Below are 24,323 nucleotides of genomic sequence, written 5' to 3'. Positions count from 1 at the left end.
TGGTCCTTACCTCTTCTACCCCTGCCCTGCCCAAGAGCATAGCAGACACCACACACCCAGCTCACACATCTTTATTGGCCTGGATGTGGGGTTGCCAAACCAGTTGCCCCTGTCCTGTGTCAGCCAGCTGTGGCAATTTCACCCTTATTCCTTGGAGAGGCCAGCTGCCTGCTGGAAGGAGTCAGAAGTCGGTGGATGTCATTGAGGCCTTGGAGGCCCCAGTCTGGCGGGAGAGAAATCCACACCTGTGCCTGGAGTTCTCCTTCCCTGACCCTCTGAACCGGCGCTTAAAATGCTGTCCCGCCTGGAACAGGGAGGCCACATCCAGCAGTGCGTCCTCAATGTGCTGCCCCAGCCTGTGGGAATCCTGGAAGGAGAACAGGTCAGAGCCAGGGGAAGCTGGGAGATGGGATCCTGGAGGCTGAGAAACAAGAGGGCTAAGGGCCTGGATTCCTGAGTCTGAGGGAGGAGGAGCTGGGGCCTGGACTCCCGAGTCTGAGGGAGGAGGGGCTGGGGGCCTGGACTCCCGGGTCTGAGGGAGGAGGGGCTGGGGGCCTGGACTCCCGGGTCTGAGGGAGGAGGGGCTGGGGGCCTGGACTCCTGGGTCTGAGGGAGGAGGGGCTGGGGCCTGGAATCCTGGGTCTGAGGGAGGAGGGGCTGGGGGCCCAGACTCCTGGTTCCTGAGGAAAGAGGGAGTTGGTGGGTATACACGTTTGTCTCACCGTTTTTGTGCTTGATTTTTTGCTGGAGATGTGGAAGGTGATCATGCCATCCCCCATGAAGATATAAGAAACACCATAACCATGGTCATCAGCCTGGAGACGGAAAGAGTGAAGGGAAGAAAATAGCTCCGGTCCCCTCCACCCCCACTATGCAGGAGTGCAGGCCCCCCAGCCCCCTCTTTCCTCTGGGGGCCAGCGCGCCCAGCTCCACTCACAGGCCCGAATCCACCGCCTGAGGAAACATAGTCCGGGTAATTGTGGACGTCAAACAGATGCATTTGCTGAACAGGGATCTGGCTGGTGGACAGCTGCCACTGCTCCGAATGGACCTGAGGACAGGAGCCCATCACATGTGCAGGACAGAGATCTGCAGTTCCGGCCCTTGGCTCCACTTCACTCCCTGCATCCCTGGCTTTTTTTTTACCCGTAAATCCGGGCCTCCTTCTCCCTAACCACGCCCTTCTCCTGACCACGCCCTATCTGGCCACGCCCCTCACTCGTCTCACCACCCACACCCACGTCCCTCTCCTCTTCTCCCTCGGACCACGCCCCTCCTCTGACCACGCCCTTTCCTCTTATCCCCACCCCACTGACCCTCTCCCCTTTTGTCTGCTCCCGTTGTCCCGTTGCCTCTCCGCCTTCTGCCTTGCCGCCCCCCCACAACTGACTTCTCTGCTGACGCATCCTTTCTCAACATCACCCTCCTTTTTTTTTTTTTTTTGAGACAGAGTCTTGCTCTGTCGTCCAGGCTGGAGTGCAGTGGTGCGATCTCAGCTCACTACAGCCTCCGCCTCCCGGGTTCAAGGGATTCTATTGCCTCAGCCCTCCCAAGTAGCTGGGATTACAGGTGCCTGTCACCATACCCAGCTAATTTTTGTATTTTTAGTAGAGACAGGGTTTCGCCAAGTTGGCCAGGCTGGTCTCGAACTCTTGACCTCAAGTGATCCGCCTGCCTCGGCTTCCCAAACTGCTGGGATTACAGGCGTGAGCCACCGTGCCCGGCCTTGATGGGTCCTTTTTCAACATCACCCTCCTTCCCTGAAACCTCTCCCTTCTTCCATGGTCTCCCACTTCCCTCTCTAACCCTTTCCCTGTGCCCCAACCTGGGTCAGGAAGGGCGACTGCAGGTGGAGGAATCGGGACACGATGTACAGCGCAAACAGGTGGCGGTCAACTCCCTGCCCGCTCATGGCTGCCTTCAGCAGAGCCTGGTGCTTGTCCACTGCCACGCGGAACAGGGCGAGGCACTGTGGGTCCTGCAGTCCCCAGGGAGGTCACAGGTCATGGAAAGACAGGAAGTCGACTTAGGGCTGGGCCTGCGGCACATCTGGCCTCAACTGAGTTTGCCACATCCCTGCAAGGTGGGAATATCAACCCCATTTTACAGATGGGGAACTGAGGCTTAGAGAGGGGAAATCATTTGGCCAGGTTCACACAGCCAGGGAGAGCCAGGCGGGTTCCTAGGTGTGTCTGGCCCCAGAGTCCAAACTCCTTCCATGGAACCACAATACCTTGTAGGTGCGGGGCTAGGTGTAGGGCAAGGGAGAAGAGGTGCAGGGCAGGTGGGATCTGGGCAGAGAGGGTACAGGGGTGCAAAGGAAGGTCACAAGTCACAAAGAGGTTAAATGGGCAGAGTTACGTTGTAAAAATGGAGTTCCAGCCAGGTGCATTGGCTCACGCCTGTAATCCCAGCACTTTGGGAGGCCGAGGCAGGGAGATCACCTGAGGTCAGGAGTTCGAGACCAGCCTGGCCAACATGGTGAAACCCCGTCTCTACTAAAAATACAAAAAAAAAAAAAAAAAATTAGCTGGGCATGGTGGCGGGTGCCTATAATTCCAGCTACTCAGGAGGCTGAGGCATGAGAATCGCTTGAACCTGAGAGGCAGAGGTTGCAGTAAGCCGAGATTGTGCCACTGCACTCCAGCCTGGGCAACAGAGCAAGACTCCATCTCAAAAAAAAAGAAATGGGGTTCCTTCTTGGGTGCACCCCCAGTGCCCTGTGAGACCACCATGAAAGCAGATATCACACTATGCTGGGCTGTCTCCCCCCATCAGTGAGCTCTTTGAAGTCAGAGGCCAGGTCCGATTCATCCCTTGTCCCTTGTGCTCCTCGTGGAGGCTGGCTTCAGTAGGTCCCATCAACGTTTGCAAGTGGATGAGTGAGTACACAGAAATAACTGAAGCCTCAAGCGAGGGCTGCACCCACCGTCTTCTCTTTGTCCTCCATGGCCCTGACAAAGTTGCAGGCCTCCCTCGTGCAAGACCGCACCGTCTCCGTCCGGCCTTCCAGGAATAAGCGAGTCATGGCCGACTCATAAGTCAGGCAGAATTGACCCCTGTCCTGGGGGACAGGGAGGAGAAGAGGAGTCTGTCAGCTGGGCTCAGGAGATCTTACAGACTTGACCTATCTCTGTCCAGACCTCCAGCCTCCTCCAGCCAGCCCAAGAATGGTTGGAAGAGAGAATTCAAGATGGCCGACCCACAATGGCAGCGACCACAAGGAACCGTGGAGGGGCAGGTCTTGGGGGCTCAGGTGGACTGAGACCCTGCGGGGGCTGTGGATGGGGAACCCAACTGACCCGGAAGTGGGCCAGTTGCAAGGCGATCTGGATGAAGCTGTCTGAAGAGAGGTGGCAGCGTCGGATGAAGCTCTTGCCAAATAGGGAGAATGGAACGACATGGCAGTCGACATTTTCAGACAAGATCTTGGCTCCCCTCAGGGCTAGAGAGATGGAGGAGTGGATCTGCCAGAGGAGGAGGGAAGAGGAGTAGTTGGGGTTACAGATGGGGGTAGGGTGAAAGCCAGGAATAAGGCTGGAAGCGGAGGTGGATGTGGAGTTAAGGTTGCGGCAGAATATGGAAATGGGGACAAAGAAGAGAAGAGAATTGAAGGATGAGACTAAAGATGGGGATAGGGGCTGGGCGTGGTGGCGCACGCCTGTAATCCCAGCACTTTGGGAGGCCGAGGCGGGCGGATCACCTGAGGTCGGGAGTTTGAGACCAGCCTGACCAACATGATGAAACCTCGTCTCTACTAAAAATACAAAAAACTAGCTGGCCGTGGTGGCACGTGCCTGTAGTCCCAGCTACTTGGGAGGCTGAGGCAGGAGAATCGCTTGAACCCAGGAGGCAGAGGTTGCAGTGAGCTGAGATCGCACCACTGCACTCCAGCCTGGGTACAGAGCAAGACTCCGTCTCAAAAAAAAAATGCCGGGCGCGGTGGCTCACGCCTGTAATCCCAACACTTTGGGAGACTGAGGTGGCTGGATCACCTGAGGTCAGGAGTTTGAGACCAGCCTGGCCAACATGGAAAAACCTCATCTCTATTAAAAATAAAAAAATTTAGCCGGGTGTGGTAGTGGGCACCTGTAATCCCAGCTCCTCAGGAGGCTGAGGCAAGAGAATCGCTTGAACCTGGGAGATGGAGGTTGCAGTGAACTGAGATCGTGTCATTGCACTCCAGCCTGGGTGACAGAGCGGGACTCCATCTCAAAAAAAAAAAAAAAAATGGGGATAGGGATGGCATGTGTAGACTGGAACAAGATTGGGGTTGGGCCACAGTTGAAGCTGGGGTTGGGGATGGGGATGGAGGAGGGACTGAGAGTGGTTTGGGAATAGAACGGGGAAGGGGTTGGGTATGGGAAGTGAATTCGAGTTGGGCATGGGTTGTGGTTGGAGGTGGGGTTGTGGCTGAGTACGGGATGGGGTTGGTGTGGGGTATGGGGTTGAGGTTGGGTATGGGATGAGTTGGGCATGGGTTGTCATTGGAAGTGGGGTCGTGGCTGAGTACAGGATGGGGTTGGGGTTGGGTATGGGGTTAGGGTTTGGTATGGGGTGGAGTTAGGATGAACATGGGAATGAATTCAGGTGGTGTTGGGATGGGATTGGGTATGGAGATGGATTTGGAAGGAAAATGGAGTAGGGGTTGGTGCTGGGGTTGGACAGTGGTGGTTTTTGAGTCTGAAACAGGTAGAGATGGGGTTGGGGTTGAGGATGGGATTGGCAGTGGGAGGACGGTTGGAGTTGGGGCTGGAGATGAGGTTCGTGTTGGGGTTTGAGGTTGTGGATGCATATGGCCTGATTTGGGGGTGGGGGAAGCATGGGTTTCGGGTTGGGGGTAGGAATGGGGTTGATTTTCACGTTCAGATTAGGGGTGGGGATGAGTTTGAAGTCAAGGCTAGGAATCTTGGGACTTGGAGGAGAGGCCCAGAAACCCAGCCTCACCTGGTCTGGAAGGTCCCATTGCAGCCGCTGGGGCTGGGGTAGTGTGGGGTCCGGGTGCCCCTTGCAGTGGCCGTCTGTTGAGTAGCCCAGCTGAAAGCATTCTGTAGCCAGAGTGAACTGTGGGCAAACAGAGGCTGTTAGAGTCCCTTCCTCCCTGTGGACTGAGGCCATCTAACCCGGGACCTCTTTTCATGCAGCCCTTTTTCGGGTAGGGGGCAGTCCCTGAGAAACAGAAACCTCTGATATTCACAGATGCGGTCTCAGGTTCATGTTCATCAAGAACAGGACTAACACCAATACTCAACTGGTGTTTACTGTCCTTATTTTCTTTTCCTTTTTTGACAGGGTCTTGCTCTGTCATCCAGGCTGGTGTGCAGTGGTGAAATTATAACTCACTGCAGCCTCAAACTCCTGGGCTCAAGCCATCCTCCTGCCTTAGCCTCCGGAGTAGCTGGGGCCACAGGCATGTACCACCATGACTGGCTGGTTTTGTTTTTTTTGTTTTTTTTTAACGTTTTTTGTAGACAGGTTCTCATTATGTTGCCCAGGCTAGTCTCAAACTCCTGGGCTCAATTGATCTTCCTGCCTTGACCTCCCAAAGTGCTGGGATTACAGGCATGAGCCACTGCACCCAGCCTGGAGTCATCTTCTTGCTCTGTAACTCCTCGCTGTGTGACTCTGGGAAAATCACTTCCCTTCTTTGAGCCCCAGTTACCAACTCATCAAAGGAAGGTCCTCATCCCAGTCCCCTTTCTTTGCCAGGTGACCCTGGGCCAGCCTCTGCCTCTCCCTGAGCCTCAGTTTTTCTTTTCTTTTTTTTTTTTTTTTTTTTTTTTTGAGATGTATTCTTGCTCTGTCGCCCAGGCTGAAGTACAGTGGCACAATGTCAGCTCACTGCAACCTCCACCTCCCGGGTTCATGCGATTCTCATGCCTCAGCCTCCCGAGTAGCAGGGATTACAGGCACACACCACCATGCCTGGCTAATTTTTTTGTATTTTTAGTAGAGGCAGGGTTTCACTATGTTGGCCAGGCTGGTCTCGAACTCCTGACCTCATGATCCGCCCACCTCGGCCTCCCAAAATGCTGGGATTACAGGCATGAACCACCGTGCCCGGCCAAGCCTCAGTTTTTCTTCTGACACTAAGGCGCTGGAGAGGACGGTCTTTGGAGATGGGGCAGGGGTCCCCAGAACCAGGGAGGGCTGGCCGCCCTACCTCCCACATGTGTCCTGAGATGGGGCAGTCGGCCCAGGAGTGCTCCACGCTGAGGCCCAGCTTCCCGTTAGAGAAGACGATTAGGGTGAAGGATTTGTCAAACCAGCTGTCAGGGAGAGTTCAGATGGGTCACCAAGAGCGAGGGGCACGGGGACCTCAGAGTGCTTTCTGTGGGACTTGAGGGGGTTTTCTAGATGGGAAGATGTGGGAATCCATTGGGGTGCTGGTATGGGGATCTCTAGGACCATTGGGGGTCCCCAGTAGTGGCCCTGGAGGTCTCCAAGACATGTCTGGGATTTAGAGTTTGGAGATTGTTTTTTTGTTTGTTTGTTTGTTTTGAGATGGAGTTTCACTCTTGTCGCCCAGGCTGGAGTGCAGTGGCGCGATCTCGGCTCACTGCAACCTCCGCCTCCCAAGTAGCTGAGGGTTCAAGTGATTCTCCCGCCTCAGCCTCCCAAGTAGCTGGGATCACAAGCATGCACCACCATGCCCAGCTAATTTTTGCATTTTTAGTGGAGATGAGGTTTCACCATATTGGCCAGGCTGGTCTCAAACTCCTGATCTCAGGTGATCCGCCCCTCTCAGCCTCCCAAAGTGCTGAGACTACAGGCATGAGCCACCATGCCCAGTCTGGAGTTTGGAGATTTTTAGGAAACTTGCCGAGGAAGGTTCAAGGCTTTTGGGGGTGCTGGGAGGTCAGCGGGACCCCCCTGGGGCCTAGGAATTCAGTGATGCCTGCCAGGCCTGAGAATCTCTAGGTCTGGAAGTCTGGGTCTAGGGCCATGGATTTGGGGTGCCTGCATTAAGGCCTGAGGATTGAATGGTTCAAGTTCTGAGGCTGAGGTTGCCAAGTCTGGGGTCCCTGGGCCTAGGGGTCCTGGGTTTGGTGGTCCTCAGATCTGGGGTCTCTGGGTCTGTGATGCTGAGTTCTCTGGGTCGGAGGGTCCAGCTCAGGGGTTTGGGAGTCTCAGATTTGGGGGTCACTGGGTCTGGTTTATAGGTCTTGGGTCCCAGGTTGAGGGGTTCCCCAGGTCAGAGGTCTCCAGGTCCCAAAGCACTGGGTCTGGGGTCCTCAGCTCTATGCAGCCCCTGGTCTACAGACTCTGCAGGTGTGGGCTCCAGGGTCTGGCTGTCTACTGTCAGGGGTCCTAGGTCTGATACTGGATTCTCGGGTGCCACATCTGGGGGCCCCATCCCAAGACTCACTCACCGATCATGGCCCCGGCCGGCCAGCAGAGCATGGGCGTAGGCATCCAACGACGCTGCCGGGTCCTCCCTGGTGAGCCCCGCGGGCTCAGCATCCAGTGACACAAAGAAAGCGGCCCCTTCCACCGCCTCCAGGGCCTCCGCTGCCTGGGTCTTCAGGGATGTCCGCACCTGGGCCCACGTGCCCCTGGAGGGCCCGGGATGTGCCTGAGTCCATCCTGCCCAGCCGCCACCTGGCCCCACCCTGCCCTTCCACAGTCTCAGGACACTGGCGGCCTCTGAGAGCCCCTGACCCCTGACCCCTGACCCTTACCTGGGAGCAGCTGTCAGAGCTGCCAGATGTTCCTCGTGGGGGCAGGCCGGTGAGGGATCATCCAGGATTCTCTGAAACTGCTGCTCCAGGGCTCTCGGGGAAAGCAGGCTGTTTCGGGAGTGGGTCCCCATGCGGAAGAATCGGCCCCGGTGGAAGACAGCCACGTGTTGGCTGTCATGGAGGTGGCGGATGTAGTCTAGGGGTGGCGTTGGCAGAAGCATGGGGGCAGGAAGGCCAGACACATAAAAATAGTGACCATTTATTATATACTTCTTAGGTGTCGTCAGTTGTTCAAAGTACCCTAGTAATCATCAGCACCCTAGGACTTTTATTTACTTAGTATTTGGAGACAAGGTCTCGCTCTGTCGCCAGGCTGGAGTGCAGTGGTGAGATCTCAGCTCACTGCAGCCTCAACCTCCGGGGCTCAGGTGATCCTTCCACTTCAGGCTCCCGATTAACTGGGGCCACAGGTGCATATCACCATGCCTGGCTAATTTTTAAATTTTGTATATAGACCGGATCTCACTACGTTGCCCTAGGCTGGTCTCGAACTCCTGGCCTAAGCAATTGTCCACCTCGGCCCCACAAAGTGCTGGGATTACAGGCATCAGTCACTGCGCCCAGCCCCTAGGTACAATTATTATCCCACTTTAGTGGAAGCTGAGGCTCAGAGAGGGTAATAACGTGCAGAAGGTCACACAGCAAGGAAGCAATGGTTCCCAGCTCAGTCAGGCGGACTCCAGAAAACATGCTCTTAGCCACTATATTGTTCTGCCTCCATCAGTGGGGACAGGAGAGGGTCTCACCTTTTTGGACCCCTGGAATCCGCGTGGTGTTGAAGATCTTCTCGTACTGGGCAGAGCATAAGGGGCGCATTCCCATCAGCAAAGTCTGCAGGAAACCGTGGGCTGTGAGCTGCCTTCCAGGACCCACGTGGCCCAAAGGCCACAGGACCACACCTCCATCCCTAACCCACTGGGGCCCTCTCACCGGGGGTATCTCCTGGCGGTTCAGGCGGTGGCGGTACAGGAGGAGGGCATGGACGGCATTCCCAGCGCGAGCTGCCTGCAGAGGCGTGGGTGTGACATACAGGAAGTCCTGGGGACCAGGAGAGGGGATGGCAAAACACCCAGGGTCAGGTTTGCCCCCGATGGAGCCACTGACCCAAATACAGGTCCTGACCCCAAAAGAGGGTGGAATGATGAATCCCAGATGGCGCGTCTAGATCCAGGTCACTGAGCATGACCGTCACATTCCGCCCAGGTACCCCCCAACCCTAGACCTGGGGCCTATGAACCTCACCCCTCCCCTTCTCACCATCATGTAATAGTTGCTGTTCACCATCAGCGGATTTCGGGAGCGCAGGTACACAAATTCCTCCCACCAGTCACTGACCTGGGAGCGGGGTGGGGAGACACACAGTGAGGGGCTGGGGCCTGTTGGGGGAGGGACAGTAGGACAGGGAAGGCCCCAGATGCTCCTGCGTCAGGCAGGGAGGATAGAGCCAAAGAAGTCAGCCATCGTAGTCAGTAACTAGCGATCACCTAGAAATCCATCCATGGGGGATCAGTTAGCTAAACCCTGTTATACTCCGGCAGTGGAATATTACATAGCTGGTGGAAATAACAAGGTACAGCTGGGCACGGTGGCTCCCGCCTGTAATCCCAGCACTTTGGGAGGCTAAGCGGGTGGATCACCTGAGGTCAGGTGTTCAAGACCAGCCTGGCCAACATGATGAAACCCTGTCTCTACTAAAAATACAAACATTAGCCACACGTGGTGGTGCACGCCTGTAATCCCGGCTACTCGGTAGCCTGAGGCAGGAGAATCGCTTGAGTCGGGGAGGCAGAGGTTGCAAGGAGCTGAGATCGCACCATTGCACTCCAGCCTGGGCAACAAGAGTGAAACTCCGTCCCCCCCAAAAAAGAAAAACAGAACATAAATGTAAAATTTATAAAACAATAAATATGTGAAATAATATACATATGTGTAAATACATGAAAATTGTGGCCTTGCCAATACCATGATAAAATTCAAACAATGAAAAACACAAAAGAAAGCACTGTGTCACGGTTTAGCTGCTCTTGTAGGGTTTTTTGTTGTTGTTGTTGTACATAAAAAAATGGTGCGTGTGTCACTGGCAGTTGGCTTGGAGGTACAATAAAATATACAGGCTGGGCGCAGTGGCTCACACCTCTTATCTCAGCATTTTGGGAGGCTGAGGTGGGAGGATAGCTTGAGCCTCGGAGTTTGAGACCAGTCTGTGCAACATAGCAAGACCCCATGTCTACAAAAAATTTAAAAATTAGCCAGGCTTAGGGGCACATGCCTGTAGTCCCAGCTACTCAGGAGGCTGAGATGGGAGGATGGCTTGAGTCTGGGAGGTCAAGGCTGCAGTGAGCTTTGATCACGCCACTGCACTACAGCCTGGGTGACAGAGTGAGACCCCTTCCAAGAAAGAAAAAGGAAAGAGAGAGAAAGAGAGAAGGAAGGAAGGAAGGAAGGAAGGGAGGGAGGGAGGGAGGGAGGGAGGGAGGGAGGAGAGAGAGACAGAAAGGGAGGGAGGGGGAGAGAGAGAAAGATAGAGAAAGAAAGAAAGAAAGAGGCCGGGCATGGTGGCTCACGCCTGTAAATCCCAACACTTTGGGAGGCCGAGGCAGGCGGATCACGAGGTCAGGAGGTCGAGACCATCCTGGCTAACACGGTGAAACCCCATCTCTACTAAAAATACAAAAATACAAAAAAAAAAAAAAAGAAATTAGCCAGGTATGGGAGGCTGAGGCAGGAGAATGGCGTGAACCTGGGAGGTAGAGCTTGCAGTGAGCTGAGACGGTGCCAGTGCACTACAGCCTGGGCGACAGAGTGAGACTCCATCTCAAAGAAAAAAAGGAAGGAAGGAGACAGAAAAAAAGGAAGGAAAGAGAGAGAGAAGGCAGGCAGGCAGGCAGGAAAGAAGGTAGGAAAGGAGGGAGGGAGGGAGGGAAGGAAGGGAAGAAAGAAATGAGTGTGTGTGTGTGTGTGTGTGTGTGTGTGTAAACAGAATCTTGTCCAAAAGTGTGAAGAAAAAAATATTTAACCAGAAAAGCAAGGCCTGCATTCCCTTTTACTTCTCCAGATATTTCGTCCCCTTCGCTGGGTTTGACCAACTGAGGCTTCCACATAGCTGCCTCGTGGGGCTCTGCCGGGGACCCTCTTCCCTTCCCCTCTCACTCTTGCTGCAGCTTTTCTCATCCCAGCCCAGTGTCTCAATGACCTACAATGGTAGGTCTCACGGTAGCTTCCTCTGCAGCCTCCCGCCCTCCAGTCTTTCCCCCACACCAAAGCTGACCCTGCCCCTTCCCTGCTCCAAACCCTCCCATGGCTCCCTAGTACCCCCAGGAAAGAGTCCAGGATCCTCAGTCTGGAGTTCAGGCCTCTCCCACCACTCCTCACCATTCAACTCCTTTGGTTTTGTCTTTTTTTTTTTCTTTTCTTTTTTTTTTTTTGAGACAGAGTCTTGCTCTGTGGCCCAGGCCGAAGTGCAGTGGCGCGATCTCAGTTCAGTGCCACCTCTGCCTCCTGGGTTCAAGCAATCCTCCCGCCTCAGCCTCCCGAGTAGCTGGGATTATAGGCGTGTGCGCCACCAGACCTGTTTAATTTTTGTATTTTTAGTAGAGACGGGGTTTCACCATGTTGGCCAGGCTGGTCTTGAACTCTTGACCTCACGTGATCCGCCTGCCTTGGCCTCGCAACCTGCTGGCATTACAGGCGTGAGACATTGCACCAGGGCTAAGTCCTGGAATTCTGGTTCAAACTTTGGAAGATCAAGGGTGAAGCTCAGAATACTGGAGCATCTATACCCCAAACTTCAACATTAAATATATAGAGAGAGCATATATATGTTATGAGCATATATATATAAATAAATATATAAGCCTATATATAAATAAATATATATTTATTTATAATTTATAAATAAATATATATTTATTTATAATTTATAAATAAATAAATATATATTTATAATTTATAAATAAATATATATTTATAATTTATAAATAAATATATATTTATAATTTATAAATAAATATATATTTATAATTTATAAATAAATATATTTAATATATTTATAATATTTATATATTTATTTATAAATTTATATATAAATATATTTATATATAAATTTATAAATATTAATATTTGTATATAAATATAAATATATATATTTATAAATAAATATATATATTTATATATACACTATATATTTATATATAAATAAATATATATACATATATATTTTTATATATATATAAATGTGGAGGTTAGGATATAGATGTATGTGAGCGGGGCTCAGGGTATTGACCCTTGGGGGCTGGGGGCGTGTGGGTTGTGGGCGTGTCGTGGGGCAGGGCGTATAACTCGCAAGTTTAGCAGGCGAGCTCACAACCTTAGCCCTTCAGGTGGGGCGTTGGTGGCGGTGGCGGGACTCACATAATTGGACGCCCACCAGGACTTGAGCCGCAGGTACCACTGCAGCAGCGACGCCTGCAGCCTCAGGAATTCCTGCGCCAGGACCGCGGTCCAGTCGAAGTCCTCGTCGGAGAGGATGGGCCGGACCGACTCCAGGTACTAAAGGGGAGAAGAGGGCAGGTCACGCCCCCGGCCCGCCCCGGCCGCCCCAGCCCGTCTGCGCGCTCCCAGGCCCACCTTGCGCACGGTGTCCTGCACAGAGGGCACGGGCTGGCGTGGCAGGGAGCGCTGGTAACTGAACAGCATCGGGTGGCGGCCAGAGAAGATGCGGACCAGGGCCTGGGGAGGAGGAGTTACCGGGTCATTAACCCCTCACCGGAGCCAGGGAGTTGACGGGGCAGGGGTCGACAGTGGGACAGAAACCCAAAGAGAAGGACACAGAGACTTAAGAGCATCGGAGACCCCAAGAGAGAAAGGAACAGAGACCCAGAGACAGGGGACAGAGACCCAGAGAGAGGGGGACAGAGACCCAGAGAGAGAGGGGGGCAGAGACCCAGAGAGAGTCGGGGGTAGAGACCCAGAGGGGGGGACGGAGACACAGAGAGAGAGGGGGACAGAGACCCAGAGAGAGGGGGACAGAGACCCAGGGACAGAGGAGGACAGAGACCCAGAAAGAGAGGGGGAAGAGACCCAGAGAGAGAGGGACAGAGACCCAGAGAGAGGGGGACAGAGACCCAGAGAGAGGGGAATAGATAAGCGGGTCCCAGGAGAGCCTGAGCAGGGCTATGCCCCTCCCATACCAGCCAGGTCTTGGTGGGGGAGGACATGGCTCCGTGGGGCTCAAGAAGCCAGCCGTGGTAGGACAGAAGCAGCCTCAGGGCCACGTGCAGTGTGAAGATCAGGGCTCCCCACAAACACGAGGCAAACAGCGCGGCTGCCAGGACCCCCCGGAGCCCGTGGTGTTGTCCACCCCTGCGGGGAGAGAAACAGAGGCTGGGCCTGGGTCTCCTGGCCTCAGAACCTCCCTCCCTTCCAGCCCCCTCCAGCCCCTGCGCTGATCTTTTGGCTGTCAGACAGAGAAACCCATTTTTGTCATTTTAGTAGGTGTGAGCTCTGTCACCCCCTCCAGCCCCCTCCCATTGTGGCAGCACCAAGCTTCCAAAGTCACTTTCCATGGAAGTTGGTAGGTGTTTAATAAATGACAGCCATTATTTCTATTGAGGGGACACTTTTTCCTTCCAGCTATCACTACTCTAAGGCAATAGTTCTGAAACTGTGGCTCCTGGGAGCACTGCCTGGGAGCTTGTTCGAAATGCATATTCCTGGGCGCCTTTAAGACCTAACAAGCCAGAATCTCTCAGGGTGGGGTCCAGCAATCAGCGTTTTTTTTTTTGTTTTGTTTTGTTTTTGGGATGGAGTCTCGCTCTGTCGCCCAGGCTGGAGTGCTGTGGTGCTATCTCGGCTCACTGCAAGCTCCGCCTCCTGGGTTCACGCCATTCTCCTGCCTCAGCCTCCGGAGTAGCTGGGAATACAGGTGCCCACCACCACGCCCGGCTATTTGTTGTTATTTTTAGTAGAGATGAGGTTTCACCGTGTTAGCCATGATGGTCTTGATCTCCTGACCTCGTGATCCGCCTGCCTTGGCATCCCAAAGTGCTGGGATTACAGGCGTGAGCCACCACGCCCGGCATGTTTTGTTTTTGAGATGGAGTTTCACTCTGTCGCCCAGGCTGGAGTGCAGTGGCACTATCTCGGCTCACTGCAACCTCCATCTCCTGGGTTCAAGCAATTCTCCTACCTCAGCCTCCCGAGTAGCTGGGACTGCAGGCGCCCGCCACCACGCCCAGCTAATTTTTTGCATTTTTAGTAGAGAGGGTTTCACCACATTGGCCAGGCGGCTCTCGAACTCCTGACCTTAGGTGATCCACCCACTTGGGCCTCCCAAAGTGCTGGGATAACAGGTGTGAGCCACAGCACCTGGCCATAGTCAGCGGTTTAACAACCCATCCAGGTGATTCCAATACAAGCTTAAATTTAGGAAAAGCTGGTCTAAAGCTACATTAAATCAACATGTTTGTTTGCAAAGTTTGCAAATGTCACCTGGAGGACTTGGGTCAAATCACTTTCCCTCTGTAGACTGGGGGTAAATCTAGCGTTCCAGGAATTTTTTTTTTTTTTTTTTTTTTTTTTTTTTTTTTAGAGACAGGGGTCTCTATGTTGCCCAGGCTGGTCTCCAACTCCTGAGCTCAAGCCTCCTGCCTCAGCCCTCCGAAGTGCTGGGATTACAAGTGTGAGCCACTGTGCCCGGCCTCCGTCTTGGAATTGTCTACATCTGATCCTGGGTCTGTTCTTTGGGGCCATCTGCACAAAATGTGGACCTTCCTCCCCGGGAGGACTCATCCGAGAACTAGACCTGACATCTCACCTGCACCCAGTTTTCAGACCCTTCCTGAAGATCACAATAACTCAATAAAAATAATGCAGCCACTCCCATGAGGACCTCCTGGCACTCTACTGACTATATGACAGGCATGATTTTTTTTTCTTTTAATTGAGACGGAGTCTCTCTCTGTCGCCCAGGCTGGAGTGCAGTGGCGTGATCTCGCCTCACTGCAAGCTCCGCCTCCCAGGTTCAAACAATTCTCCTGCCTCAGCCTCCCAAGTAGCTGGGATTACAAGCACCTGCCACCACACTCGGCTAATTTTTGTATTTTTAGTAGAGACAGAGTTTCACCATGTTGGCCAGACTGGTCTCAAGCTCCTGACCTCAGGTGATCCACCCGCCTCAGCCTCCCAAAGTGCTGGGATTACAGGTGTGAGTCACCACATCCCGCCGACAGGCAGGATTTTGATTAATTCTTCCAAGCACACTAAGAAGCAATTATTCATACCTCATTTTACAGATGAAGGCCTTGACAATCAACAACGATGAGATCCTTGCCTAAGACTACATGACTAGAGACGGGCAAAGCTCATACTTTTTTTTTTTTTTTGAGACAGAGTCTCGCTCTGTCACCAAGGCTGAAGTGCAGTGGCACAATTTCGACTCACCGCAACCTCCGCCTCCCGGGTTCAAGTGATTATCCTGCCTTAGCCTCCTGAGTAGCTGGGACTACAGGCGCGCACCACCACACCCGGCTAATTTTTGTATTTTTAGTAGAGACGGGGTTTCACTATGTTGTCCAGGCTGGTCTCAAACTCCTGACCTCAGGTGATCTGGCCACCTCGGCCTCCCAAAGTGCTGGGATTACAGGTGTAAACCACCATGCTTGGCTATTTTTCTTTTTTCTTGAGACAGGGTGTCACTCTGTTGCCCAGGCTGCAATGCAGTGGCATGATCTCAGCTCACTGCAGCCTCGACCTCCTGAGCTCAGGTGATCTCCACCTCAGCCTCCTGGGTAGCTGGGACCACAGGTAAGTGACACCACACTTGGCTAATTTTTTGTTATTTTTAGTAGAGACGGGGTTTCACCATGTTGCTTAGGTTGGTCTCAAACTCCTGGGCTCAAGTGATCCTCCTGCCTTGGCCTCCAAAAGTGCTGGGATTACAGGCATGAGCCACTGTGCCCAGCAAAGCTCACACCTTTTTTTTTTTTTTTTTTTTTTGAGATGGAGTTTCGCTCTTGTCACCCAAGCTGGAGTGCAATGGCGCAATCTCGGCTCACTGCAACCTCCACCTCCCGGGTTCAAGCGATTCTCCTGCCTCAGCCTCCCTAGTAGCTGGAATTACAGGCTCCTGCCACCACGCCCAGCTAATTTTTTGTATTTTTAGTAGAGACAGGGTTTCACCCTGTTGGCCAGGCTGGTCTTGAACTCCTGATCTCAGTTGATCCACGTGCCTCAGCCTTCCAAAGTGCTGGGATTACAGGCATGAGCCACCATGCCTGGCCTAATTTTTGTATTTTTAGTAGAGACAAGGTTTCACCATGTTGGCCAGGCTGGTCTCGAACTCCTGACCTCAAGCGATACACCCACCTCAGCCTCCCAATGCCCAATGTGCTGGGATTACAGGGGTGAGCCACTGTGCCCGGCCTCACCTCCTTTTTCTTCATGCCATGCCTTTATTAATCTGACCCAATGTAAGTCTCAGAGGTTACTTTTCTTTAGCAGGTACACCACAATGACAGAGGAACTTACTGGGTGAAGGGAGAGTGATTGGGGGTTACTGGGCTGGAGTGGGGGGACCTCACCAGTCAGGCAGCAACTCTTTGATCTTCTCCATCAGTCCTAAGGAAGGATCCAGCTGGAGGAACCAGGCAAGCTGGATGGCACTGAAGAGGAAAAGCCAACTGAGGGGGCTGGCAGGAAACACACCGGTGAGAAAGTCATTCTGTGGGGAGGAAAGGGCATCCATTGAATCATCTGCCCTCTCCTCTGAGCCCCTGTTCTGTGCCATCCCCAGACATTACTGAGCACCCAGTGCGGAGCCCTGAGCTGGAGGCTCAAGATCTAGTAGGGAACAGAGAGATCCAGGTCCTGCCCTCAGCGAGGTCAGACCAGAATGAAGTAAGTATTAATTGCTATAGGGCAAGAAATAGGAGGAGCCCTGTGCTGCCAAGTTACAGTTCGAGGGCATCAGGGAGGGCTCCCTGGAGGAGGATATTCTGAGGCAGGACCTGGAAGGGGAGGCTGTCAAAGGCAGAACAGTCCGGATGTGGTGGCTCACTCCTGTAAACTCAGCACTTTGGGAGGTCAAGGAGGAGAATCCCTTGAGCCCAGGAGTTCAAGACCAGCGGTGGCTCACGCCTGTAATCCCAACACTTTGGGAGGCTGAGGCAGGCGGATCACTTGAGGCCAGGAGTTCAAGACTGGCCTGGCCAACATGGTGAAATCCGTCTCTAGTAAAAATACAAAAATTAGCCGGGCATGGTGGCAGGCACCTGTAATCCCAACTACTTGGGAGACTGAGGCACGAGAATCGCTGGAGCCCGGGAGGCTGAGGTTGCAGTGATCCAAGATCACGCTACTGCACTCCAGCCTGGGTGACAGAGCAAGACAAGGTCTCCAAAAAAAAAAAAAGAAAGAAAAAAAAATTAGGCGCAGTGGCACACACCTTAGTCCCAGCTACTTGGAAGGCTGAAGCAGGAGGATCGCTTGAGCCCAGGAGTTCAGGGATGAAGTGAGCTGTGATGGTGACACTGCACTCCAGCCTGGGTAACAAAGTAAGTAAGACCCTGTCTCAAAAAAAAAAAAAAAAAAGAAAAGAAAAGAAAAAGAAAAATGATCCCTATTCAGAGCAGGGTCTGGAGCTCAGTAAGGCCTTCTAGAAGTACCAGGGCATGGAATGAATGAGGAACGACCAACAGCACTGCGTTACTAACTAAACTCCTTTGGAAGCCTCAGAGAGATAACTAACGTTTAATGAGCACTTACTACATTCCAGGTGCCATTTACAAGGATTAACAATTTAAATCCTCCCCAAACCATGTGAAATAAGTACTAAGATGATCTCATTTTACAAATGAAAACACTGGGGTTTGGCCGGGCGCAGTAGCTCATGCCTGTAATCCCAGCACTTTGGGAGGCCTAGGCGGGTGGATCACCTGAGGTCAGGCATTCCAGACCAGCCTGGCCAACATGGCAAAACCCCATCTCTACTAAAAATACAAAAATTAGCCAGGCGTGGTGGTGGGAACCTATAATCCCAGCTACTCAGGAGGCTAAGGCAGAAAAATTGCTTAAACCCAGGAGATGGAGGTTGCAGTGAGCCAAGATCCTGCTATTGCACTCCAGCCTGGGCAACAGCAACAGAGTGAGACGCTGTCTCAAAAAAAAGGCCAGGGGCAATGGCTTATGCGTGTAATCCCAGTGCTTTGGGAGGCCAAGGTGGGCGGATCACGAGGTCAAGAGATCGAGACCATCCTGGCCAACATGGTGAAACCCCGTCTCTACTAAAAATACAAAATTAGCTTGGCGTGGTGGCACACGCCTGTAGTCCTAGCTACTTGGAGGCTGAGGCAGGAGAATCACTTGAACCCAGGAGGCAGAGGTTGCAGTAAGTCGAGATCACGCCACTGCACTCCAGCCTGGCAACAGACTGACTCCATGTCAAAAAAAAAAAAAAAAAAAAAGGCCAGGTGCAGTGGATCATGCCTGTAGTCCCAGCACTCTGAGAGGCCAAGGCGGGTGGATCACCTGAGATCAGGAGTTCGAGATCATCCTGGCCAACATGGTGAAACCCTGTCTATACTAAAAATACAAAAAATTAGCCGGGCCTGGTGGCAGGCACCTGTAATCTCAGCTACTTGGGAAGCTGAGGAAGGAGAATAGCTTGAACCCATGAGGCGGAAATTGGAGTGAGCCAAGATCATGCCATTGCAATCCAGCCTGGGCAACAAGAACAAAACTCCGTCTCAAAAAAAAAAAAAAAAAAAAAATTGTGCATTTTTCTCCATGTAATGTTATCATATATATGTGTGTGCATGTATATATTTATAGGTCTATAAATATGTATGTATCTATGTATGTATGTATTTAAACACACGAAAAGGATGGCCACATGTTTGTTTTTTTTTGAGACGGAGTCTCGCTTTGTTGCCCAGGCTGGAGTGCAGTGGCACGATCTCGGCTCACTGCAAGCTCCGCCTCCTGGGTTCACGCCATTCTCCTGCCTCAGCCTCCCAAGTAGCTGGGACTACAGGTGACTGCCACCACGCCCAGCTAATTTTTTTGTATGTTTAGTAGAGACGGAGTTTCACTGTGTTAGCTAGGATGGTCTTGATCTCCTGACCTCGTGATCTGCCCGCCTCGGCCTCCCAAAGTGCTGGGATTAGAGGCGTGAGCCACCATGCCTGGCCAAGGATGGTCACATGTTAACACTTTAGTTGGTAGACTGGCCTGAGGCCCAAGGAGTCCCAGGGTAAGGGCGGGAGAGGGATTCGGAGTTCAAGGCAGTGGCTGTTTGCCAACTGGAACAGATTATACAACCAACAAGACCACAGAGGTTCAGTTTAGCCTGCTGAAGCATCCCAGCTTCAGGAGATCCTCCTGGCCGCCGGCTCCCACCCCCTTTTTTTTTTTTTTTTTTGAAACGGAGTCTTGCTCTGTCACCCAGGCTGGAGTGCAGTGGCGCAATCTTGGCTCACTGCAATCTCTGCCTCCTGGATTCAAGTGATTCTTCTGCCTCAGCCTCCCAGGTAGCTGTGATTACAGGTGCCTGCCACCACACCCGGCTAATTTTTGTATTTTTAGTAGAGATGGGGTTTCACTATATTGGCCAGGCTGGTCTTGAACTCCTGACTTCGTGATCTGTCTGCCTTGGCTTCCCAAAGTGCTGGGATTACAGGCGTGAGCCACCGCACCTGGCCTGCCACCCCCTTATTTAACTGCAACACCCCCACATCACTCTTCTCTACCCGATTTATCATTCACCATAGCATGTGTCACCATCAATATCAGATGACACTATAGAATGTCACCATACCCTATATTTTGCTCATCTGTTTTATTGCCTTCTGTTTTGCTCATCTGTTTTATTGCCTTCTCCCCCAACTCGAATGAGAACTCTATAAAAGCAGGATTCTGTCTTTATTATTTATTTATTTATTTATTTATTTATTTATTTATTTTTTATTTTATTTTATTTTTTTTTGAGACGGAGTCTCGCTCTGTCGCCCAGGCTGGAGTGCAGTGGCGCCATCTTGGCTCACTGCAAGCTCCGCCTCCCGGATTCACGCCATTCTCCTGCCTCAGCCTCCTGAGTAATTGGAACTACAGGCACCCACTACCACACCAGGCTAATTTGTGTGTGTGTGTATTTTTAGTAGAAACGGGGTTTCACCGTGTTAGCCAGAAGGGTCTCGATCTCCTGACCTCATGATCCGTCCGTCTCAGCCTCCCAAAGTGTTGGGATTACAGGCATGAGCCACCGTGCCCGACCTGTCTTTATTTTTTTAATAGAGATGGGGTCTCCCTATGTTGTCCAGGCTGGTGTCCAAGTCCTGGGCTCAAGTGATCCTCCTGCCTCAGCCTCCCAAAGTGCTGGGATTAAAGCCGTGAGCCCGCAGTGCCCAGGCGTGATTCTGTCTGTTGATATCTGCTGTGTTCTCCATGCTAAAGAGGGCCAGGCCCTTACCGGATGCCCCATAAATATATGGTGAATGAATGAAGAACAATATCAGAAGCTAACACTCAGACCTCGCCATGGGCCAGGACATAGAAGAATTAATTTAGTCTTCAAGGCTATCCTGTGAGGGAGGTGCTGTCAACACCCATGTTTTCCACGAGGGGAAACTGCGACTCCAAGAGAGGTGCTTGCCCAAGATGACACAGCTACTAAGCGGTGGAGTCAGGATTCAAACTCAATCATGACCCCACAGGTGTTCCAGACCCCAGTTCACACACAGAGGATGTGACAAGCAGGGAGTCCCTGTATGGAGACAGTGCAAGAGTTCTAGAACCAGAAACCCTGGGACAGACATGGGTGCTGGTTACACATTGGGCATGCGCATTCCAGAACAGGGACAGAGCAGGAGTTTGGGCCGGGCGCGGTGGCTCATTCCTGTAACCCAAGCGCTTTGGGAGGCAGATCACTTGAGGTCAGGAGATCGAGATTAGCCTGGCCAACATGTTGAAACCCCGTCTCTACTAAAAATACAAAAATTAGCTGGGCGTATAATCCATGCCTGTAATCCCAGCTACTCGGGAGGCTGAGGCAGGAGAATCGCTTGAACCTGGGAGGTGGTTGCAGTGAGCCAAGATCACCCCACTGCATTCCAGTCTGGGCAACAGAGTGAGACTCTGTCTCATAAATAAATAAATAAATAAGCCAGGCATGGTGGCGTGCGCCAATAATCCCGGCTACCTGGGAGGCTGAGGCAGGGAATTGCTTGAACCCAGGAGGCGGAGGTTGCAGTGAGCTGAGATCCCGCCACTGCACTCCAGCCTGGGCGACAGAGTGAGACTGTGTCTCAGAAACAACAACTACAAAAGAAGCTGGAGATGAAAGGAAGAAATGATAATTTCACCATAAGGGAAGGATATGGAGTTCTAGAAACTGGAAGTGGGTAGTTTTTGGGGGGCCCAGTTCCCCTCTTGGGTGAAAGAAGTGAGCAGAGGTTCTCAGCAGGTGGGGCTGTGGATCCCAGAAGTGAGCCACGGAGAAATTGCTAAAGGGGTCCTGGGAGCAGACATCAAAATTCTAAGAAAAAGGGGTGATAGTCTCCCAGAAATGAACCAGCTGAAATGCCGGAAGTGAGCCTCAGACATCCCGGAAGCAGAAACCTGGATCCCCGGAAGGAAACCGACCAGCACCGCTCCTCACCCAGAAACGTGAGAGATGCCTTTTCCAGGAGCGCAGGCCAGAGAGGTAGATCTCCTGCAGCACAGGGGCACTGAGTTCCACTTCAGCCCCGTCCGAGGTCAGCGAGGGTCGGAAGCCCACGGCCTGGTGCGCTTCAGCCATGTCACGCTGGAGCCCTGAGTCGGGCAGAGTCATACTTCAGGACCCCAGCCCCTCCGCCCTCAGACTCAGGAGTCCAGGCCCCCAGCCCCTCCTCCTCCTTCATACCCAGGAGTCCAGGCCCCAGTCCCTCCTCTCTCAGATCCAGGAGTCCAGGCCCCCAGCCCCTCCTCCCTCAGACCCAGAAGCCCAGGCCCCAGCCCCTCCTCTCTCAGATCCAGGAGTCCAGGCCCCCAGCCCCTCCTCCCTCAGACCCAGAAGCCCAGGCCCCAGCCCCTCCTCCCTCAGACCCGGGATCTCACGCTTTCAGCTGCCTTTTTGCGCCGACCCAGGACTACATAACCTAGCTCATCCTTCTCTAAGCACCTGAAGGGTCTTGAGGGTCCTGGTTTGTAGACCCGGAGGTTTTGAGGGAAGGACGTCAATTCGGGACCTCTGGGAACGCATAGAGAGGCCAGAGGGATAGCTCGCGTTAACCCCTTTACCTGCTCTCCCAAGAACATGGTGCGGGGGCAGTGCCCTCCCCCCAGTACAGGATTCTCAAGATTCGGGGGTGGGTGGAGGAGGGAAACTGGTCCAGGCTGAGTTGCGGGGTCTTGAGAAAAGCATTAGTTTTAGACCCATATGAAACAAACACCTGTTAGACATTGACGCTGTCCACCCCATTGCCGCTTTTCATGCCAAGGCGAGGGGGATGGTGTCTATAAATTCATCCGCTCAGCGTCCCCTCCCCCCGCCCGTGCTGGAGGGAATGGGGAAGGAAGCACCCACTGCGCATGCCTCGCAGCCTGGGATGCTGAGGCTGTGAGCGGAGGCGAGCGTCGAGGACAAGTGATGGAGAGGCTTGCACGCCCAACCCTAGACACAGGACTCCAGGCCCCGCCGGAGCCCGAGCCCCTGGGGTCCAGTACTTACCACGTTGAATCAAGGGTCCGCTGATCGGATCCTGGGGTCCAAACCCGAGTCCACCCCCGCCCCCCGATTTTGAGCGCCGGCCCCAAATCTCCCGCTTGCATATGTCCAATCCCAGTGCAAGGAGTCCACCACCGGGTCGACGGGCCTTTGGAGTCCTGCCCACCCCGAGATCACCGTCACCCAGAAACCCCGATTCCTCTCTCTCGTGTCCCTAGCCGGGTATTCAGGTCCCGGGTTTTATCCCCGCCTCCTTCCAATCCCCGCGTTCTATCCCCGCCCCCTTCGAGCCACGGCGTCCAATCCCCTACATCCGTTCGATCCCCAGTCCTCCGTCTCCTTTTACCCGGCCAGATTCTCCACCATTTGGCCGCTCGCATTCTACGCAGCTGTTCGGAACCCGGGTTCCTGGGCTCCTCACTCAGCTCATTGTCTCTTAGTCTCCTGTCTCTTCGAGGAACAAGGCTCAGCTGGGAGGTCGCAGCCCACCCCAGGTGCATTATAACGTCAGGCGCGTAGGGTGCCGGAGCAAATCTCAGCCCTTTCACGCCAGGGAGGGAGGAGGGATGTTTGGGGGTCAGGACGGCCCGCCAAAACCACCCACGGAAGGTGCATGGATTGAGTTGGCAAGAAAGGCGCCACAGCGGGTTGGATTCAAGGTAGACAGTGGGACTTCCGTGAGGGAGAAGCAGCATGGCTAATAGAGAAAGGTATATTAGAGACCCAGCCTCGACTGAGAGGTCGAAATAGGTACAGAGAAGCAGAGACTGAAACACGGAACTCTTGTTTATTCGGCTCTGGGCGTCAGTGTTCTTCGCCCAGCCTGGTCCCGTGTGCTTCTAGGTCCAACCTAGTCGCAGCCCGGGGAGGGACTGGGGAAGACGGTTTCAGGGGCTGGAGTTAGGGGAGAAGAAATGTGGAGTAGAAGCTCCAACATACAGATAGGCAAACTGAAGCCGAGGAGGGGACGAGCCGTGCCCGAGGTCACCCAGCGAGCTGGGCACTGCGCTAGCCCCCTCGCTGCAGGCCGGAATCCTGGGAACCGAGCCGGGCTTCCGCCTCGCGCCACCGGCGGCGCCCATAGCTGTAGGGGTCCTGGGGCTCGTGGCTGGCCTTCCCCGAGGGCTCCTTGGTGGAGACAGCGAATCCAGTATATGATCTCCGCCAGGCGGTGGGTCCGGCATACGCCCAGGTAGCAGACGTGCCCGCGGTGCTGGGGGACCTGGTGCTGGCCTCGCCTGGAGAGGGAGCGTGGGAGAAAACCGGGTTCAAACCGAATTGAGAGATGGAGCGTGATGGAGGTGGGCACCCAAGCACTCCAAGACCAGCGGGGAGGCTTACAGATCACCTGCCCGTTCCGCGGCCGGGAGAGGGCGCTCGCCCTTTACGGTCTCCCTCCCGCCCTGTCCCTGCTGCCACCCGGGTTTCTCACCTGGCTGCAGTGTCCAGGTCCCCTTGGGCGGAGAAGGCGAGGAGCAACAGCAGGATGAGGATGTGGATAGTCATCGTGGGCAGGGCGGGTCAGGATCCGTGGCCCGTAGTTGCGGCCACCCCGCCCCGTTCCCGCACCGGGCTGATCGCCTCTGGGTGCAGCTCTGGAGCCAGGTACCAGGGCCAGTCCCCACTTCCCAGGCGGGGAACACTGAGGCCAAAAGTCTGTGGGAAGAGGCCGCACCACACCAGAGGGGCAGGATTCAAACCCGGGTCCCCGCTTCCCGCACCGCGGCTCCAGAGACCTCACTGGGTGTGTGGGGTCACACCAGCTGCTGTCTATCCCCCTAGGAGGTCTGTGGAGACTCGCCCCCTTCAAAGCGTGGGGAAATGGGGCGGGGCCAATGACACCCGCAGGTAGCTAAGCAGCGGGATTCCAAGAAAAGGGG

General features: G+C 53.6%; 2 protein-coding genes across 25 annotated transcripts, besides 1 other annotated feature; both read right to left on the bottom strand.

The window, feature by feature from the left end:
• On the bottom strand, positions 56–23,125 carry CPT1C (carnitine palmitoyltransferase 1C). 24 transcript variants are annotated; one of them, NR_108072.2, is made up of 21 exons: positions 22,447–22,671; positions 22,017–22,126; positions 21,394–21,548; positions 17,185–17,305; positions 16,322–16,461; positions 12,932–13,103; positions 12,369–12,470; positions 12,153–12,290; positions 9,000–9,077; positions 8,673–8,780; positions 8,489–8,573; positions 7,683–7,878; positions 7,374–7,556; positions 6,164–6,269; positions 4,948–5,064; positions 3,303–3,467; positions 2,930–3,064; positions 1,826–1,978; positions 938–1,051; positions 723–815; positions 56–367 (listed from the first exon to the last, which is right to left on the bottom strand). NR_108072.2 is itself a non-coding variant. In XM_047438159.1 (20 exons), the coding sequence occupies exons 3-20, from the start codon at positions 21,532–21,534 to the stop codon at positions 182–184; spliced, it is 2,379 nt and encodes a 792-aa protein (XP_047294115.1). In that variant the 5' UTR covers positions 21,535–21,548; positions 21,898–21,966; positions 22,790–22,946; the 3' UTR covers positions 56–181. The 24 variants fall into 24 exon arrangements, 23 of the variants coding, with proteins under 23 accessions (XP_047294115.1, XP_047294113.1, XP_047294112.1 ...); XM_047438159.1 differs by lacking the exons at positions 17,185–17,305; positions 22,017–22,126; positions 22,447–22,671 and adding exons at positions 21,898–21,966; positions 22,790–22,946 and having other exon boundaries at positions 8,673–8,747; XM_047438157.1 differs by lacking the exons at positions 17,185–17,305; positions 22,017–22,126; positions 22,447–22,671 and adding exons at positions 21,898–21,966; positions 22,790–22,931.
• Positions 23,212–24,193, bottom strand: ADM5 (adrenomedullin 5 (putative)). The gene is made up of 2 exons (NM_001101340.2): positions 23,876–24,193; positions 23,212–23,681 (listed from the first exon to the last, which is right to left on the bottom strand). Exons 1-2 carry the CDS (start codon positions 23,947–23,949, stop codon positions 23,294–23,296), a joined length of 462 nt encoding a protein of 153 aa, NP_001094810.1. The 5' UTR covers positions 23,950–24,193; the 3' UTR covers positions 23,212–23,293.
• Positions 23,734–23,803: a silencer, noted in NCBI's record as "silent region_10934". NCBI's record gives its function as "represses an Ori minimal core promoter by ATAC-STARR-seq in GM12878 lymphoblastoid cells {active_cell/tissue: GM12878}" and the evidence as "EXISTENCE:reporter gene assay evidence [ECO:0000049][PMID:35858748]".

The sequence above is a fragment of the Homo sapiens genome, chromosome 19 (assembly GCF_000001405.40).
Source record: "Homo sapiens chromosome 19, GRCh38.p14 Primary Assembly".
In the NCBI taxonomy this organism is placed as follows: domain Eukaryota; kingdom Metazoa; phylum Chordata; class Mammalia; order Primates; family Hominidae; genus Homo; species Homo sapiens.
Note: the sequence above shows the minus strand (reverse complement) of the source record. Positions and strands in the feature narration are given on the sequence as shown.